Source organism: Homo sapiens, chromosome 10 (assembly GCF_000001405.40).
Source record: "Homo sapiens chromosome 10, GRCh38.p14 Primary Assembly".
Lineage (NCBI taxonomy): Eukaryota > Metazoa > Chordata > Mammalia > Primates > Hominidae > Homo > Homo sapiens.
In genome coordinates, this window is record NC_000010.11 from 64,350,474 (window position 1) to 64,369,708 (window position 19,235).

The 19,235-nt window shown below is 36.4% G+C and overlaps 1 long non-coding RNA gene across 4 annotated transcripts in view, besides 1 other annotated feature; it reads left to right on the plus strand.

Annotated features, from left to right (window-relative positions):
* Positions 1-19,235, plus strand: part of LOC124902439 (uncharacterized) — an 820,351-nt gene that overhangs the window by 477,885 nt on the left and 323,231 nt on the right. The window lies entirely within an intron of this gene.
* Positions 9,796-10,090: a silencer, noted in NCBI's record as "tiled region #9231; HepG2 Repressive non-DNase unmatched - State 24:Quies". NCBI's record gives its function as "represses a minimal TATA promoter and a strong SV40 promoter by Sharpr-MPRA in HepG2 cells {active_cell/tissue: HepG2}" and the evidence as "EXISTENCE:reporter gene assay evidence [ECO:0000049][PMID:27701403]".

The following is a 19,235-nucleotide window of genomic DNA, read 5'->3' on the forward strand; positions in this document are numbered from 1 at the left end:
GATCCAATTTAACAATGACAATGTATTGTTTCCTCTTTTTAAAAAACAGAATAACAAAAAATGAACAAATACACAAAATCCAGATCTAGATGAAATTTTAGGCAAAATTTGCAGGCAGTACCTTATCTGAGATAAGAGATAATTTAGGAAATTATGTCTTAAATCACAGTGCATTACTTACTTAAGTAGATCTCTGGTAAGACAGTAGGAGGAGATGTAATGAGGTGAGAAGTCCTTATCAGCTCAAGCATGTATGACTGTGAGGGTCCTGGGATTAGGATTCTCAACCCAGTCAATTTTTAACCAACTCAGTTGTTTATACCATGCTTTCATTGTTACAAAGGGACTGTGCAAACAGACTGACATTGTTTGTATGACCACCACAGCAGCATAGCATAAAAAGTGCTGAGAAACAGCAGCAGGGGATAACTGGAGCCACTGTAGGAAGACAGCAGATTCGAGCACAGAATGGAGAGCAGGCTGCAGCAAGCAGTGTCCTTAAAGCTAAAGTATAACCAGAGAGAGCTGGGCAAAGTAAGCGGTGAGGATTTGGAGAGATGCTAAGCAAAGCGTCCCTTCTGCACTATCTTTCAGGAAATGTGGCTGCACTAGTTCTGATTCTGAGGAGAGCCCGCTGCTATTAGAGGGAAGGCAGGAGCCATGAAGATGTTCGTACTTTAACACATATTCTTTTCCTTAACTGAGCTGTCACTTCTGCTCATTGCTTTTTGGAGTTACTCCTTGTTCATGCTACTGGGTATTCCACACCCCAACCTGGTTTGCCCACTTCACAGATTCCTCATTTTATAACTCATGAAAACAGGTGAAGCTATAGAATGTGTTTCTTCATAAACTTATCTTGTCACTGGGTCATCAATGGCCTGAAATTATCCTCTGATCATTCGTCCTCAGTGCAAGCATGGCCTTGGGAATCTTCCTTCAGGACTTCCATTCAGCTCCATAAATGCTGACATGTGCTTCTCTCATATCCCAGCCCTGTGGCGGTGGTGGAGAGTGGCCTATACTGTAAGTGCAAACCCAATAGCCATTGTCCTTTTGTCTGAATGACAAAGCCCGTATTTTGTTTGGGGCAGCAATGTTTCTTGTAAAATGCATTGTCTTCCTAGAGATTTCTTACAAATAGGGCTGGCCATTTGACCTTTAAGGTAAGATCAAATACCTGCTTGAATTTTCTGAGAAAGGTTTTTTTCTCCTAGTACAATTACAGTACTGTCCCTTCCTTCTCCCCCTTTCTTCTTGCTGGAAATGGCACAGCTATCATTACAATGAGGTGGCAGCATGAAGACAGAAGACTCTGCTAATGATGGGAAAGCAGAAAGCAGATCGCCTGGGACACTAACCATATTGTGAAACCAGAGCTCAACCCCTGGACCATCAACATGCAGATCTCTTGTTACATGAGCAAAAATATATGTCTGAAGGATAAATATGTTCAAAATAGGCTTTCAAATAGACACTCATGTCCTTCTGTAAACATCATGGTAGAGCAAGTAAATCACAAACTTTTCTTTCTATACCCTCAAGACATGTGGCTTAGTAAAAATGTCTTCATTTTGGAGAATAATTTTCAAAATCTAATGATAATAATTCCCCTTTAAAAATTCTCAAATAAAACACAACGGTAATATGCAAAACTCATTTTACATAAAAATAGGTAAGTAACTGTAAAAAAATACTTTTGATAACAGACAGGTTAAATTAATTTAAAAATCAAATTTGTTGAGAAAAAGATTTAATATTGATTCTTTTATTTTTCTGACACCTCTGGACTGTGGTGTTGTAAGTGTTAGTGTCCTGCTTTTTTCTAACTTACTGCAAGATCTGTCAAACTAGCTAAAGATATGCTTTAGGCATTGCTAAGACATATATGAGAAAAACCATTTTATGTTTTTTAAAAAACATGGTAATGAATAACAATTATATATCAACATTGAGCAGAATTGTCCACAAAAACTTAGATTTTCATTTTGTACACCTGGTTTAGTAGTAATTTTTGCAAACACTCTCCCTGTTCTCTCTCACTTAGCCATCAATAAATCTTATGACAAAAACAATATTACTGACAATGTAGGGTCTTCATTTCTCAGATGATTCTGGGCCAGAGTGGGTATCAATTTTAATTCACTGTTTTCAGAGCAGCTACAGTAGAATGTATTAGATTAACAGGCATAAATAAATCTTAATTTTGTTGAGATTTATACCTGCCACACAATAAATACAGATAAATATTTCTTATCCAACAAGTTGCATCGATTTGGCTTTTACTAAAGTTAAATGTTAGCCTGAAATTAAATTTGTGGTGACAGAGTAAATGTAATCTGAGATAATGACAGTATAGGTCAGCACATGGCTAGTGGAGACAGCATGGAAAGGAAGAGAATTCTGATAGCCAATAGATTGTTTGCTCAAGTAGATGATAATTCAAAATGTACATGCATTCATGGAGTTGGAAAAGCAGGAACTCTTTTTAGACTCAGAAAATCGTGTAGCTTTAAGAATTAAAATGTTAGCTAGCATTTTCAATTTATCATGCAACACTGGCCTTTGGAATCAGTAGGATGATTTATCACTCATCATATAATTGGAACTAAATTTTAAAGCCATGTTACTAAGAAATTGTGGTTGCATTTTTGAAAGAGAGCTAAGGGAATGTCCCATGGGGACATTCACAGATGGGAAATATAGGCAGATATGGGGAAATTTTTTTTTCAGTTTACCTTTTGTACATTTTGCATTTTGTATCATGATGTCATGTGCATGTAACACCCATTCAAGTAAATAGTGGAAAATAGACAAAAATAAAATAAAATAAATGAATGCTTCTTGTTTAGAATGAAATGCTAACATTAATTTCAATGTTTATGAAGATTTTTACGATGACAGCTCTTGCTCTGTAGTCAGTATGTATTCTTTGTTCTCCTTATTGTATTATTCAAACTCCTTTACACTCAACATTTCTTTGGGTACAGTGACTTTTGTCTTCACCATTCTTTGACTTCTTTAGGAGATTTCACATTGTATTGCCTATAGACAGCATCCATTAAGTATCTGAAAAATAACTGAGAAACATAAACTTCTCAATTTGTCATCACTAGCATTTTAGTGTGGAGCCAAAGTCAATTGCAGCATAGTGGGGCTGGTAGATGGGTAAGGCCAACAGTCATCTGATGGATGCTGACTATTTAACAGTTAAGAATTCCAGATAGGGGGTGAAGGAAGGCATGGTTTATGCTGGTTAAAAGAAGTTAGAAAATCCAAAAGCTAGGTCATCAAGGTTGATGACATAAATAGATGTTGAAAATTTGTAACACTCAGGAGTTTGACTGGGTTGTTAGTGGAAGGGACAGCATTAAAGACCAGAAAAAATGAATTTGGATCTTGAAGGAGAGGCTGTTCTGATATCCTGAGATGTCTCCTGACATCTTACTTTTAGCTGAAGTAATAGATTATGTATAGCTCTGCACTGGTGAGAAAATTCATTAGAACTGACTGAAGAAGTAGTGAAATGGAAGAATCATAGGATTATAAAATGAAAGAATATCTGGACTGTAAGGGACCTTAAAGATGACTTAACTCTAGTCTTTCTCATTTTACTGATGAGCAAACTGAGACCAAGGGAGGTTTAGTAGCCTAGGAATGTAGAGGCTATGTGAAGACTAGATTTTCAGGTGCCAAATGGCTCATCGTTTTCAGTAACCCATTATCCTTTCCATTTTTCTGACAATCAGCCATGACCAGGAAGAATTTTTCCTTGAATCATTAAGGAGTACAGAATAGCAACAGCAGGAGCGTGAGGGTGATAATCTTAGGAAGACCTCTTTTGGACTGAGCTGCTTAAGAGTGTGTCTGGTTTCCACACCAGGTGAAAGTGAGTTGACATTATTAAAAACTAGGAAGTTGTAATGCCAAAAAGATTCAGGATAATAACACCCAAATAATTATCTCAAGTGTTCAGGAGCAATGCCTAAAATGAAAGAATCTTACAAACTTCTTTGGTAGCCATCTATTAGAATGCATTATAGGATATTAACTCAAAAAATAAAACAGTGAAAAAAATTTCATCACAGAATCATATGTCAGATGTGCATGATTCAGAGTAACTGACTATAAGGTTATCTGTTGGTTTTATTTTTCTACTTTTATTCTTCCTGAATCAACTCATTGGCTATTTGAATTTGCAAAGTTGAAAGGTTATATTGTTCATTACTGTGAGCAATAATGTTGCATAAAAGTGGTCATTCAAAAGGAATGGGGGTATTTATGAGCACATGACTCTATTATATTAATCCCTACATGAAATGATTCATTTCTGCATGTATTCATATTTAACCTTGCAGAGAAATCTGTCATTGTTAGAAGGAAATGTGACTTGAATTACTATGCTCTCCCTGATAGACTCCACTCTGGGAGGCCCTTGGGTGGACTCAGCCTTAAACTTCACCTCTACAAAGCTCAGTCGGTCTGACTGCACGAAGCCAATTGTGTATAGAGTAGCAGTCTCCAGCTACCTCTAGGAAATGACTATCAAGAATAAAGCAAGAGCCAGAAGCCAGCTAGGTTTTTCTGAAAGGCTAGATAATAAAAGTGAAGCATTGGATATTATCAAGATAAGTGTGGAGAATGTGTAAGCAAGAACGACCAAGAGAACCTCATTGCTGCAGTTTCCTTTCCCAATTTCCTGGAGGGAGGTCTGGGCTGAGTGGAAACCAAAAATCTATCAACAGAACGTCATCAGTCAGTTGAAGGCTAATGTCTATAGAAATGCTGATCTTCAACTTTAGGCCATCCATTGTAATACAGGAACCAGATGAACTTTTACAAGACAACACTGCAATCGCATAGCTATCCTCTCAAGACTTTCAGCCTGGGGTTAACACAGTTGAAATATTTGAGATGAACTGCAAGGAAAAATTAATCTATTCAAATCTTCTATGCTTACATTTCTACTATTGTAAGATGTTAGGACTCTGACTTGCCTTTTTTCTTAGTTGATTTGCACACTAGAATGGATTATAAATACTGTAATAATTGCAGAAGGTTATTTCACTGACTCTACTGCAGCAGAACAGCCTAAGGTAGCACCATATACACTCACGTTCCAGTGGAGATGAATAACTTGTACATTGAGTAGAGGAAAAAAGCAAACACTTCAATTTCCGCTGCTTATAAGACATTGGAAAGGCTTGGCATTTTAAGCAATCTTTCTGTGTTTAACTCTATTTATTCCTAAGGAAGACTCAACAAGAAATTTTAACCACCTCAGAGGATGCTTTTATGTGAGGTAAGTGATGCTCTCTAAGAGGCAAGTGTTTTCCATCCACAGAGTATTATATGGCCCCCTGAATTTGTTTCTTACACACACAGCATTTACAGCATTTACCACAGTATCACTCCACTTGGCAACTATTTTTAGTTTAATAAAATAATGGGCATTATTTTGGGGTGTCCCCAGAAGAAAAATTATTCTTATTACTCAGAGCAGATTTCAATCATTAAAAATTCTGCTTAAAGATTCCCCTTATTTCTACTAGCAGTCTTCTTATCAAAGATACTATTTCAATTTTTATTCTGAAATAGTGGCATTAGGATGTGTAGGGAGAATTAAGTAGAAACACTGGTATCCCAGGAAACAACCACTGTTACTCTGAAAATAATAATAATAAGCCCCTGTTATATCCCAACAGCAGGCCAAAATCTTAGTTATATTATTTCTGTTTCTTAAAATGAGTTTTTGAGAAAAACCTTCAAAATTCCTTTATAAAGATGAGCAGAACAAGATAGATTTAGTAGCCCAGCTTGTCAAGTGAATGGTTCACAACTGAAATTCAAGAATGTCTGATTTCAAAGCTACTCCTGTTATGCTACCTCATACTTATGCCAACAGTAACATTATGTTGCAGGAACTTTTCCTTAGTTCAGCTAAAGACAGGATTCTTTGTCCCACAGCCATGAAAATTCAGACTCACAGACAATTTGAATGGTGGGTAAGACAAAGTTTTATTGGATGAAAAAGGAAGAGAAGGGGAAAACCGGTACTCTTGCTAGGCCAGAGTCCCTGCTAGAGTGCATCCCTACTGGCCATTTGAATCCCAGGTTCCACACAGGAAGAGGAGGGGCAATGTTCCTTCCCACTGCAAAGAGAGTGAACTTCCTGAGGTTCCACTCCAGCGCACAGGCCAGTTGGAGTTTTTCCGGGGACCCCCTCCCACCTGTCTGTCTCAATTACAGACATGTTAAAAGTTTAGGAACCTTATAAAAAATTTGGTCTATCTCATTTGCTCTTTCCTCCCTCCCATACCCGATTTAAATAAATAGAAATAAATTAATTGATGTTTATGGAGACTATAGAACAGTGGTTGACATAGAATACAGTAAATGTTCAGTAGATAATTGTTATCATTTTATTGCTTTGAATATCTTATAGAGAAATAAATACAACTTTACACACCAAATAATGAAGGATATTAAATCCAATTAGTACATACAATTTTGGAGATACCTCTGGAGAGGAAAAATAAAAGGTTCAGAATAGTCGTCTAACTTTCAGTAGTATGTTTCATAGACACAGCTGACTAGCTGTGAAATACTGCCATTTCCACTTAATTTTGTTCACTCGTTAATTCAATCCTCCACTTTATTTGATCAGATCTGGAACCAAATCATTCGTATTCATTTTACATTGTGTTTTTGCAGTGTCTCTTGATCGCTTTCACATGCTAATACTGGCTAATTCAATTGGGATTTATTGAGGCAGCCCTTGAAAATTAACCACCTAATTTCTCATGCACAACATAAAAACAGACCTATTTTTCTTCACTTGTCTTTTTGAAGAATATATATTAACATAAAATAAGAGGTCGTCTTTTTGGTGCAAAGCACAATGCTCATGGTGTTAGTAGACAGGTTTTAGAGAAAAAACTTTTGTATGAGTTGGTGGTCCAATATGGGAATGCAGATTTGACTTATTGAAATATATGTATTTTCTGTAGGAGAAATTTTGGCTAGAATAAAGTTGTTCAAGAGAGTCAAGAAAGTTGATCATTTGACTAATATTTGATATCCTAATATTATGAATGTTGCATTTGCTTAGTTGTATTGGTAACATGGTAAGAATAGAAATTATCAGTGACTTTACAAAGCTTAATGTATGTGGCTATTAGCCCATAATGAGCACCTTCTCTGGTTTTAAAAAAAATCAATCAGTAAATCAATGATTTCAATTTATTGGTCATCTGCCTTTATTTAATCATATTGGAATCTAGTTGTCCTTAAAGGAACAAAACTATGAGCTCCTTCTCTTTCCACTAATCTTACAGTATGTAGAATTTTAGTTATGCAAGCCTGTATCTCTCTTTCCATGGAACACATGCAGAAATTTCCTATTAGAGCCAGTGAATTCCTTTCCACCCCACCTACATAGTGCATTCAGGTAGTTTCTGATTAGGGCATGATTACATGCTCCCTATATCCCAGCAAAAGTCAAAGAATCTCTAAAAAGCAATTTTACCTCATCAGGTACTGGGAAACAAAATGGTATGATGGTCAAAAGTGAAGACTCTGAAGTCTGATTATTGAGTATGTATTCTGAATTTGTCACTTCTTAGCTGTATGACTTTTTTGTAAATTATCTAATCTCTTGAAGCCTCTCTTTTCTTATCTGTAAAATGGTGCTCACAATGGCAACTGGCCAGGCATGGTGACTCACACCTGTAATCCCAGCACTTTGGGAGGCCTAGGTGGGCGGATTGCTTGAGTGCAGGAGTTTGAGACCAGCCTGGGCAACATGGTGAAACCTCATCTCTACCTAAAATACAAAAAATCAGCAGGGCTTGGTGGCATGTGTCTGTGGTCCCAGCTATCCCCGAGGCTGGGGTGGGAGGATCTCTTGAGCCTGAAAGGTGGAAGTTGCAGTGAGCCAAGATTGTACCACTGCATTCCAGCCTGGGTGACAGAGTGAGACCCCTGTATGAAAAAAAAAAAAAAGACAACTGTTTCATAGATTTGGTGTTAGGATGAAATAATCTGATAGATGTGAAGTGCTTAGGATAGTTCTTGGCATATCATAAATGTTTAATGAATATTAGCTATAATAATAAATTCACCTTGTTATTATTAATTTTATTTAGGTGGCCACAGTAAAGTCCCCTTTGTCTATAGTTTCATTAATTCTTCATTCCTCTTCTGGGCTATTCAGGTGGAAAATAAAGACAGCATTTCCTCTTTTTCCTTTTGTAAATCAAATGAAGTGGGAAACAAACCAGCAAAAACCAGAAATATACAGTCCAGCTTCAGTTAAACTAGAAAAAAATCCCTCAAATCCAAAATTACAAAATAAATAGATGAGTTATCAAAAGCAAGGAAAATAGAAATTGAAGAGGAAGTTGAGAGGGGAGTCAGATTTCTAAGAAATCAATAGCATGGACTCGTCTAAAGTTAGTTGCAGTCACACTCTAAAGTAGTAACCCAGCTGGCAACTGTGAGTTTGGCTGCATGGATTAGTAGACCGAGTTTGTGTTTCAAACATAGAGGCCATGGGGCTCAATTACAAAGATAAGGTAGTGGAAGTTATCTGTCAATAAAGCAGGTGTTGGAAAGACATTACACTGTGAGAAGCCCTGAAGCTGCCATTCTTAATCGTATATGGAAAATAAAGAGCTTAAAAGGGCTCATAGGCACTGGGCCATAAAGAAAATTTCTGCTATCTTGAAACATAATCTTGGCATTTCTACAACATGAACGTAGAACAAATATGATCTAAGAAAAATTCCTTTCAGTGATGATGAATATGAAAAAAGCTGCCAATACAAAATACATAAAAGATACAGAAGAAGAAAGAAATGACAGCAAAAGCAAATGGCAGAATAATAACACAGGAAAAATCATTCCATAGAGTACATAAAAATTATGACTAAATATTTTGTTATGAATTTAAAAAAATTATGTAGCAATCACCATTTTTTAGCAAGAGCTAAAAAATATATACAAGAACTTTGGGTTAAGACAGCAAGATGAGAAAAAGAGATGAAATATGATTTGGTCTTGCTTATGAAAGTAGTAAAAAATCAGAAATGAAGGCAAAATTGGAAAGTGTACAAGAGTGAATGGAAACTACTTAGAGTAGAGTAAGAAATGAAGGAGAGAGAACCAAAAAATAAGTTAAAAGTACAAAAAAATAGATAAAGATAAAATTAGGCAAAGGATATCCAAGTACCAAAAGTTAGGGGTTCAAAGTAAAAAATGATATAATGGAAGAAAAAAACATTTATAGATATAAGGCAAGAATGTTATGGGAAGTCAGGGACCCCGAACAGAGGGACTGGCTGGAGCTGAGGCAGGAAAACATAAATCGTGAAGATTTCATGGACATTTATCAGTTCCTAAAATTAATACTTTAATAATTTCTTACACCTGTCTTTACTGCAGTCTCTGAACATAAACTGTGAAGATTTCATGGACATTTATCACTTCCCCAATCAGTACTCTTATAATTTCTTATGTCTGTCTTTACTTTCATCTCTTAATCATGTTATCTTCTTAAGCTGAAAATGTACGTCACCTCAGGACCACTATTGTACAAATGGATTGTAAAACGTGTGTTTGAACAATATGAAATCAGTGCACGCTGAAAAAGAACAGAATAACAGCGATTTTCGGGGAACAAGGGAAGATAACCATAAGGTCTGACTGCCTGCAGGGTCGGGCAGAATAGAGCCATATTTTTCTTCTCGCAGAAAGCCTATAGACAGATGTGCAAGTAGGAGAAATATCGCTGAATTCTTTTCCCAGCAAGGAACAACCCTGGGGAAGGAATGCATTCCTGGGGGTAGGTCTGTAGACAGCCACTCTGGGAGTGTCTGTTTTATGCAGTTGAGATAAGGACTGAAATATACCTTGGTCTCCTGCAGGACCCTCAGGCTTACTAGGATTGGGAAATTCCAGCCTGGTAAATTCTAGTCAGACCGGTTCTCTGCTCGCAAACCCCGTTTCCTGTTAAGATGTTTATCAAGACAATGCATGCACAGCGGGACATAGACCCTCATCAGTAATTCTAATTTTGTCTTGCCTTGTGATCTTTACTGCCCTCTGAAGCATGTGATCTTTGTGACTTTCTCCCTGTTCGTACACCCCCTCCCCTTTTAAAATCCCTAATAAAAACTTGCTGGTTTTGCGGCTCGGGGTCATTATCATGGTCCTACCAATATGTGATGACAGCCCCGGAGGCCCAGCTGTAAAATTTCTCTCTTTGTACTCTTTCTTTTTATTTCTCAGACCAGCTGACACTTAAGGAAAATAGAAAGGACCCACGTTGAAATATTGGGGGCTGGTTCCGCTGATACAGGAAAACTTTCTAGAAATAAATAAAGACTCAATTATACAGATTTAAAGGGCACCCTAAATCCAAAGAAGCGTTGATAAGAGTGGTTAAAAGTGAAGCAAAGTCTATGAAGCCCTCACAAAAGGAAGTCTAATCTATTAATTTTACCCTCCAGCAAAATGTTGTTCAAGGGTAAAGTCACTTACATTATTTAATGTGTAAAACTCAGGATATGGTGGGTCTTTGAGCAATTCTTGAAGAAGGTATAGAGAACAAACCATATTCAGCCAATACTTTAAAGTAAAAATTACAGACAAGTAAAAACAAAAAATTAGAAAAGAAAATAATGGTTCCAATAAATTTAAAACATAAATTTCTATCACGGATTATAAGTCCTGGCATGTGAAATGATATAAGTAATACAAGTTTGGAGAGGAAAAGAAAGAGACAATAGCAAGTAGTTAAAAAATACTGATTTTCCATATTCCCAATGCCCCAGATTAAAAAGATGATAAATTAAATAATGGTGCTATAAGACTATTTAAGGTACAGTTAATAAAAATAGTATCATTACAAACTCAGAGAATGTTTGGAGGGGAAAGAATAAAAGAAGAGAGGGTAAGTAAGGTTATGGATGTTCATATCTTTTATACCAAGGGATCAGAAGAAATAATTTAAAACTCCATCAAATAATAGAGATATGAGGACATGTAGTAAAAAAAATCAAAATAAACATCAAAGTAGTACAATGGGCTGGGTGCAGTGGCTCACGCCTGTAATCCCAGCATTTTGGGAGGCCAAGGCAGGAGGATCACTTGAGGTTAGGAGTTCAAGACCAGCCTGGCCAATATTGTGAAACACCATCTCTACTGAAAATACAAAACATTGGCTGGGCATGGTGGTGCACCTGCAATCCTAGCTACTTGGGAAGCTGAGACATAAGAATCACTTGAATTCAGGAGGCAGAGGTTGCAGTGAGATTAGATCACATCACTGTACTCCAGCCTGGGTAATGGAGTGAGACTCTCTGTCTCAAACAAAAAAAAAAATTGTACCCACAAACCAAAGTGTTTGATGGAAGACAATGAGAGAGGATAAGGAGCTGAAGGCACATATTAATTTCATTATTGCTCACAACAGAGTTAATAGTTATAAAATAGATAATTTAGAGCATTATGTAAACATATAAATCTAAATACTATAATGAAAAAATGCAAGCTTTACAGTTAGCAGAAGAAATTCAAACCAAAGTAAAGAAAACAAATACTAAGCATAAAGCCATTAAACTAGAAAATATGACAGCATTAAGGCCAATATGTCTGTCTTATCAAAGAATTTAAATAGCTATTCTCACCAATTAAAAGAAAATTTCAGATTGTACCAAAAAAAAAACCCCAAATAGATTCTGTATATAAGAGATACTCATTAATAAACTGACTCAAAAATTGTTTCTTTTGACCCAGAAAAGTTAAAAAGAGTGACCAAAACAAGACAAATACAAATAACTTAAATACAGATACAAATTTTCATATCAGACAAGATTGGTTTCAGTACAGAAACATAAAATGAGATGAAGAAGGAAATGTCATAATAATAAAGAGTGCAATTCACAAAGATTTGGCAGTTATTACAAATGTTACACAAACCTACATAGTACAGTCTGCTATACACCTACAAACAGCTAGTCTACAAACCTATACATCATGTTACTATATTGAATATTTTAGGCAATTCTAACACAGTGGTAAGTATTTATGTATCTAAACATATCTAAAAATATAAAAGGTGAAATAAAAATGCAGTATTATAATATTATGAGATCACCATTGTATATGTGGTCTGTCATTGACTGAAAAGTTGACTGCAATGTTACGTGGTACATGATTTTATACTTGTGTAAAGAAAGTTTTAACCTAGTAACAAAAATATCTCTTCCATCTTTTTTCATGTACACAAATAACTTTCATAAAAATGTTATTAAAATATATGAAATACATCTTAATGAATCTCAAAATTGAGGAATAGTAAAAAGTTTTAAGATTATAATGCAGTAAACTCAAAATTAGATTAAACACACTAAAGAATAACTCTTCCTACCACCTAGAAAAAGAATAAATGAAATTAAAAATTTGTCTCTTAAAGTCATAAATCAAAAAGGAAGTCATTTCTCCCCCACTTCCCAACCTTCACCCTCCCCTCTCCACTCCTGCACTCCTTCCATTTACATCTTTAATTATCTACTCTAGGCTATATTTTCACTCAAACCTTGGGAACTTTTCTTAGGGAAAAGTGCAGCCCATTCCTTTGTCCGTTCTCTAGAGTTCATTGTCTATATAAAGGTTCTTGTGTAAAAAACACAGCGAAGAGTTTCTTAGGTCCCTATAGCTGGAAGGCAGAAGACACACTGTAGGGAGTTGGAGAGTGGCTCAGAAAAGCACCTGAAACTTGTATCCGAGCAGAAAAATCTTCCCAGTTATGTTGGGAGTGTTTTACCCCAACATACAAGTGGGTGAGGCCATTGCAAAACAGTGTACAACTTCTGGAGTACTGCAAGTCCTTGTGGCCCTTATTCCAGCTAGTTCTAATCACAGATTTTGACTCTTGGATTCCTCAGTGGGTCTGACTTGCCTAACTTCTGGTCTTTTTTTTAAAAAAAAAATCCTGGCTTTGTTCTTCTTTTCAGTGGACTCGTGTTCTAACTCTGAGTTCCCAGCCACCAAAATTGAGGCCTCTCAAACACTCACTTCAAGTGGGCACCAGGTTTAGCGGGTGGGGAATAGGTTTTTGAGTCTCCTGGTTTTCTTATCAAGCTGTAGTATCTTACCCTCTCCTATTATATTTAAATTTCACTTATTTGTGATACTTTCAAAATAAACCTTTAATATTTAAATCCACCAGTTATGTATTTAAGATTGGCCAAAGTCAAAAGTAAGAGTGAAAGTAAGTTTCCCTTTGCTTCATATCACACTTTCCAGACATCTTTTACTCACCACTTCTCACACCGAGGTAGGCATTAATCTTCTAATGTTCAAGTTGAGTACACAGAAGGAACAAGGCAAATACTTGACCAGGGAATAAATGAACTTTCTCTTTCAGTCTTAGGTTGACTTATTGTAAGCCAATCAAAATCTGCTATGAGCTCCTGTCAAGTTTGAGAGAAGGTTGACAAATGTATACACATGCACAATGATTGGTAGAGTTTCTGTTCACTACTCTTATGCTTCTACTCCTTTCTTTGTTTTCATTTTGTTTTTTGCTTGTAACCTTCCTTACATTAAACAGAATGTTTCTTTTTCTTTTTTTTTTTTTTGAGACAGAGTCTTACTCCGTCCCTCAGGCTGGAGTGCTGTGGCATAATCTCAGCTTACTGCAACCTCTGCCTCCCATGTTCAAGCGATTCTTGTGTCTCAGCCTCCCAAGTAGCTGGGATTACAGGCACATACCACCATGCCCTGCTAATTTGTTTGTATTTTTAGTAGAGACGGAGTTTTGCCATGTTGGCCAGGCTGGTCTCGAACTCCTAACCTCAGGTGATCTGCCTGCCTCGGCCTCCCAATGTGCCAGGATTACGGGCATGAGCCACCATGCCCGGCCTGGAAATTAGGTATTAAATGGTATAATAGTTACAATCTCTGTAACACTCTTGTTCTTCACCTCATGACTCTTCCTCAGAAAATGCTACTAATGCATAAGGCTTTGTCCTCTGCCTTGTTCCTTTTAGGTTTCCAAGTCAAAGCTCCCAATTTCTTTAACTGTTAGGTAGTAAATTTATTTCTGACAGTCCATCTCTTGGACTTGCTGATAGCATCCCAAATTAGAAATCACTGCAGTTTCCCTTTAATTTGATTATTTGCTATTTTTTAGACAATGGGTGTTCAGATGGGTGGAAATAGATTGATTCCTTAGAGACAGATTGACGTTTTGATCCCTGTGATCTAAGTCTCAATGGAACTTGCCTGGCAAAACAATTGATTTCAAGTAATAGCAGTCACAGAGGAAGAAAAACCGACAAAGGTCTCTCTGTTTTGACTGAATAGTGTCCAATCAGGTGACATTGTGGGCAAGCAGGTGAAAACTTCAATGCTCTTACCCCTCCTGCTTTCTTTCAAGTGACAGTTTCTCAGCCAGACTGTCATGCTTTCAAAACCAGCAGTAAAGAGAAGTTTCACCTGGTATTTTCTTTTTTTTCTTTTCTTTTCTTTTTTTTTTTTTTTGAGATGGAGTCTCGCTCTGTCGCCCAGGCTGGAGTGCAGTGGCGCGATCTCGACTCACCGCAAGCTCCGCCTCCCGGGTTCACTCCATTCTCCTGCCTCAGCCTCCTGAGTAGCTGGGACTACAGGCGCCAGCTACCACGCCCGGCTAAGTTTTTTTTTTTTTTTTTGTATTTTTTAGTAGAGACGGGGTTTCACTGTGTTAGCCAGGATGGTCTCGATCTCCTGACCTCATGATCCGCCTGCCTCGGCCTCCCAAAGTGCTGGGATTACAGGCGTGAGCCACCGTGCCCGGCCTCACCTGGTATTTTCTAAACTTAAAATTGATTTCCTTATTTAATGGTTGCTATTGTACTTATTAGAGATCTAAAATTGTCAGTTTGCTTTGTCATGGCAATTGCTGACTTAGGCAATAAGGAAATGTAAATTCCTTCCTGTGTTAATGAATTCGTTGGTAGGAAAGCTGGTTGAAAGACATATGGGGAAAAAATGTACTAGACATTTAAATGTTAAAGCAGTGTTTTCTACATTGATTTTAAAGAACACTGTCTTAGACCAATTTCTATTGCTGTAACTAAATACCATAGACTGGATAATTTACAAATAAAGGCAATTTATTTCTTAGAATTCTGGAGAGTGGGAAGTTCGAAAGCACAGCACCAGCATTTTGTGAGCACTTTTATGCTGTATTGTCCAGCGGCGGAAGAGCAGAAGGGCAAGTGAGCACTTGTGAAAGAGTGAGGACCAAGGATGGGAGTTACTTTTATAACAAGTTCCTCTGGCAATAGCTAAGCTGCTCCTACAAAAACTGCATTAATCCACTCAACATGACTCAATCAACTCTAATTAGGTTTCACCTTCCAACACTGGGGATTAAGGAGATTAAGTTTCCAACATGTGAACTTTTGGGAGGATACATTCAAACCATAGCAAACACCAAAGTCAGCACTCTCCTGTTGAAAAATAGTTTTAGTGGTCAAATGTTTCAGAGAAACAAAGTTAAACAGGCTTCTTTTCTTTGGGGCTTCTCTGAGCTCATAATATGATAATGTGCACTATGAATTACCAAGAAGCAAGCTATTATGAAATAGTTTTTTCTAATATTTAACTGCAGTACTTTTGTGTTTCAAAGAGTATCCTCTAACTCCACTGGGAATTAGTGTTTTCATAGACCTATGGACTAAAAAATGCTACATTAAGGACATGCCTGGACTTCAAAAATGTAAATGTCACTGAACTCCTACAACACTGGGTATGAGGAATCAGAAGCAGTAAGTCCAGGGTTTACTAACAATACTTCCCCTAGGCTAGTGTTAAAGGGTTCTTTCTCTATTCTGTTCTTTGTGCCTATGCAGGAAGTCAGAGAGAGACAATACTTGGTAACACAGGAAGGATTTGAGTAGTATACATGCTGGTTAAAAGAAAATTTAATGAATAAACTTGTGAAACTCTTTCTGAAAGTAAGACTATAGTACATTTTTACAAAAACTAAGTATTATTCCCAGTAGTACTGAGTGCCCATTATATTGCTATTCTTTGTTTTCCAAGTCATGTTTCCAATAGTTGTCCATGTTGCCTGAAAAACATTTTGCAAACTTAAGTGATTCATATGATTTAAATTTGTTTATAGGTAGGTCAAGACATGAATGACATCAAGAAGTGTGGTACTGATTCTTTAGTTAGCAACTAGATGAAATTTCAATGCCAGGTTTGTGTTTACTTTTGTTTGTATAATAAAATGTAATAAGATTTAATTACATTTTCAAAAAATTAAATGTGAAACTTGGATTTTTTCAATGATTTTTATTTAAAATTTTAATATTCATTGATTATAATTTATACTTTGCCTTTTAATGTGAAGGATAGTTTTGAATATTTTACAAAATGAAATATAAAAATACAAATCACAAAAATAATTTTAATTTAAATTTATAGTATTATAAATATATATTCAAATTTTGTAGACTTAGGACACATTTATATTTTTTAATTCTTTAGATTATTATTGTCAATAACACAAATTATGTGAGAATCTCAGTTATGACAGCTTCATTAGTGGTTTTGTTGATCTGAAAGAAAATATAAATTTTATGGAATAAATATGTAATCATACGGTTGGCCCATCAATAGAACACTAAGTCACACATATTACCATTAATTAATTAATAATATTCTATCATTTTTATTCATATAACAAGCATAGATTTATGCATGTATATGTGAATCTATGTATGTATATACGTGTCTATATTCTAATTCTGTCATTATGAATATATATTTGTTCAAGTAGAAGGATCAGAAAGATTTTATTCAATAGTTTTTAAAACTTGATTTATGACTTTTAAATATATAGGCCCATGTGGTACATGGGCCTCTATTTGTTCTCCTGTCCTATACTGCAAGTGTCAGTGGTGAGCTTGGCTACCATGACTCCTGATACAGACTGAACATTCCTAATCCAAAAATCCAAAATCCAAAATTCTAAAAAATCTGAAACATTTGGAGCCACTGACATTATGCCACAAGTGGAAAGTTCCACACATGACCTCATGTAACAGGTCACACAGTCAAAACAAAGGCGTACAACATAGTTAAGTGTCCAGGAGAAAAATTATCCTCCCAGACCTCTTTAGCTGTAATATATCTTTTCTGGATATTCCCAGATTCCCCCATGCAAGTATACCCACAAAGGGTAATAAAATTCCATGTGTGCAGGCTAGACACACCACTAACGGCAGTCATGAATAAAATACAGTAACCTTTTAACTAAAACACAGCATCATAGGTGGAAACTGAAATCCTGCCATTGCTTGCTGTTACTATTGCTTACCAGCAGATACAGGTATTCTGGTTGCTTAGTTACCCCAAACACATTATTTTTTCACTGCATTAATGGTATGTCTTTTTTTTTTTTTTTTTTTTTTTACTGTTAAGGACTTGCGTGTGGATAAGTGTAAGAAAATAATTGCTTATTGGTAGCATATGAATTCAGAGTCAGGAATGATAGCAATGCCAAACAACCACAAATTGTCCACATGGTGGCTGAGATGGTGAAATCTTTGCCTTCTGATGGTTCAATGTACACAAACATTCTTTCATTTACAAATATAAAATTACCTTTAGTCTATGTGTACAAAGTATACAGGAAAATCTCCCCCAAAAATATGAAATCTGAGACACTTCTAGTCCCAAGCATTTTGGATAAGGGATATTCAATCTGCATTTGCCAGCACTGTAAGGGTTATCTTGTGAAGATATGGCAGCATTTCTTCCAAACAGTAACATCTTTCTCTCAAAGACTCTGTACTTCTGTCCAGCTGCCCCTCTTCCATGTATAGAGTGGAGAGAGAATCATTCATATAACCACTGACATAGAACTTCGTTGATTCTACTGACCTCATTTCCAAGAGCTCATGTAGTCATTTCAAGGGATAATAAGAAAAGATGAGTAACTGTTGGTTTTCAGTAATCTGCACCTTGGAGCATAAAACAGAAGTTCAGTCCGGAACTGACAAGCAGTTCTGAATAGACAAGCAATATGGACACACAGTAGAGCATTCTGATCAGATGAGAACGTGTCCCTCAGCTTCCTTTGCAAGGTAAAATGGAGGACTTGTGTCAGAATTTACTGTTTAACCTTTATAGTTCTCTGAAAGTAAGGAATGTGTTGTGAATCTTATACAATGTAGACTGAGTGTTCAGTACCTGATTATTATAACTGTATCCTATTATTATAATTATTATTATAATTTCTGATTCCCAGGATGAGGAAACTAAGGCAAGAAATTCCTATAATAGAATGCTGTCTTAACCTTTTATTTATGTATTTATTTATTTATTATGTGATCTGGTAAACTTTGATTCAATGGTCTTTTCTCAACTGTGCTTTAAGTGAAGGGATACAAAGTCTATTTTTTGAAACAAAACTTATATGCATGAAACACAGATTTAAATGATAAGAGATGCCTGACGTGGTGGCTCACGTCTGTAACCCCCAGCACTTTGGGAGGCCGAGGCGGGCGGATCACTTGAGGTCAGGAGTTCGAGACCAGCCTGGCAAACATGGTGAAACCCCGTCTCTACTAAAAATACAAAAATTAGCTGGGCATGGTGGCGGCCACCTGTAGTCCCAGCTACTCGGGAGGCTGAGGCAGGAGAATGGCTTGAACCCAGTAGGTGGAGGTTGCAGTGAGCTGAGATGGCGCCATTGCACTCCAGCCTGGGTGACAGAGCGAGAATCCATCTCAAAAAAAAAAAAAAAATTGTTGATGTATATAAACACTCATTTACCTACCACCAAATGATATAACTTCTTCATAACCCTCAAAATGTATTTTTGTCCCGCTCCAGAAAAACCCCACCTTCCATAGGCAACCACTATTTTGATATCTATGATTATATGCCAGTTTTGCCAGTTTTTGAATTTTATATAAGTAGAACCATATAGTATGTAGTACCTTGTGTTGGGTGGTTTTTTTCGGGTGGTGATTTATGTATTCCTTTGTTGATGTTCGTTAGTATAGTTTCTAGTTTTTGCAGTTGTGAAAAAAGAAGCTCCGAACATTTATGTCTAAGTGTTGTTTTTGGATATATATTTTTTCTCTTTGGTAAATACTAAGGAATAGAATTTCTAGATCACATGTAAGTGTAATTTACCTTTGCAAGAAACTGTGAGTTTTTCAAAGTGA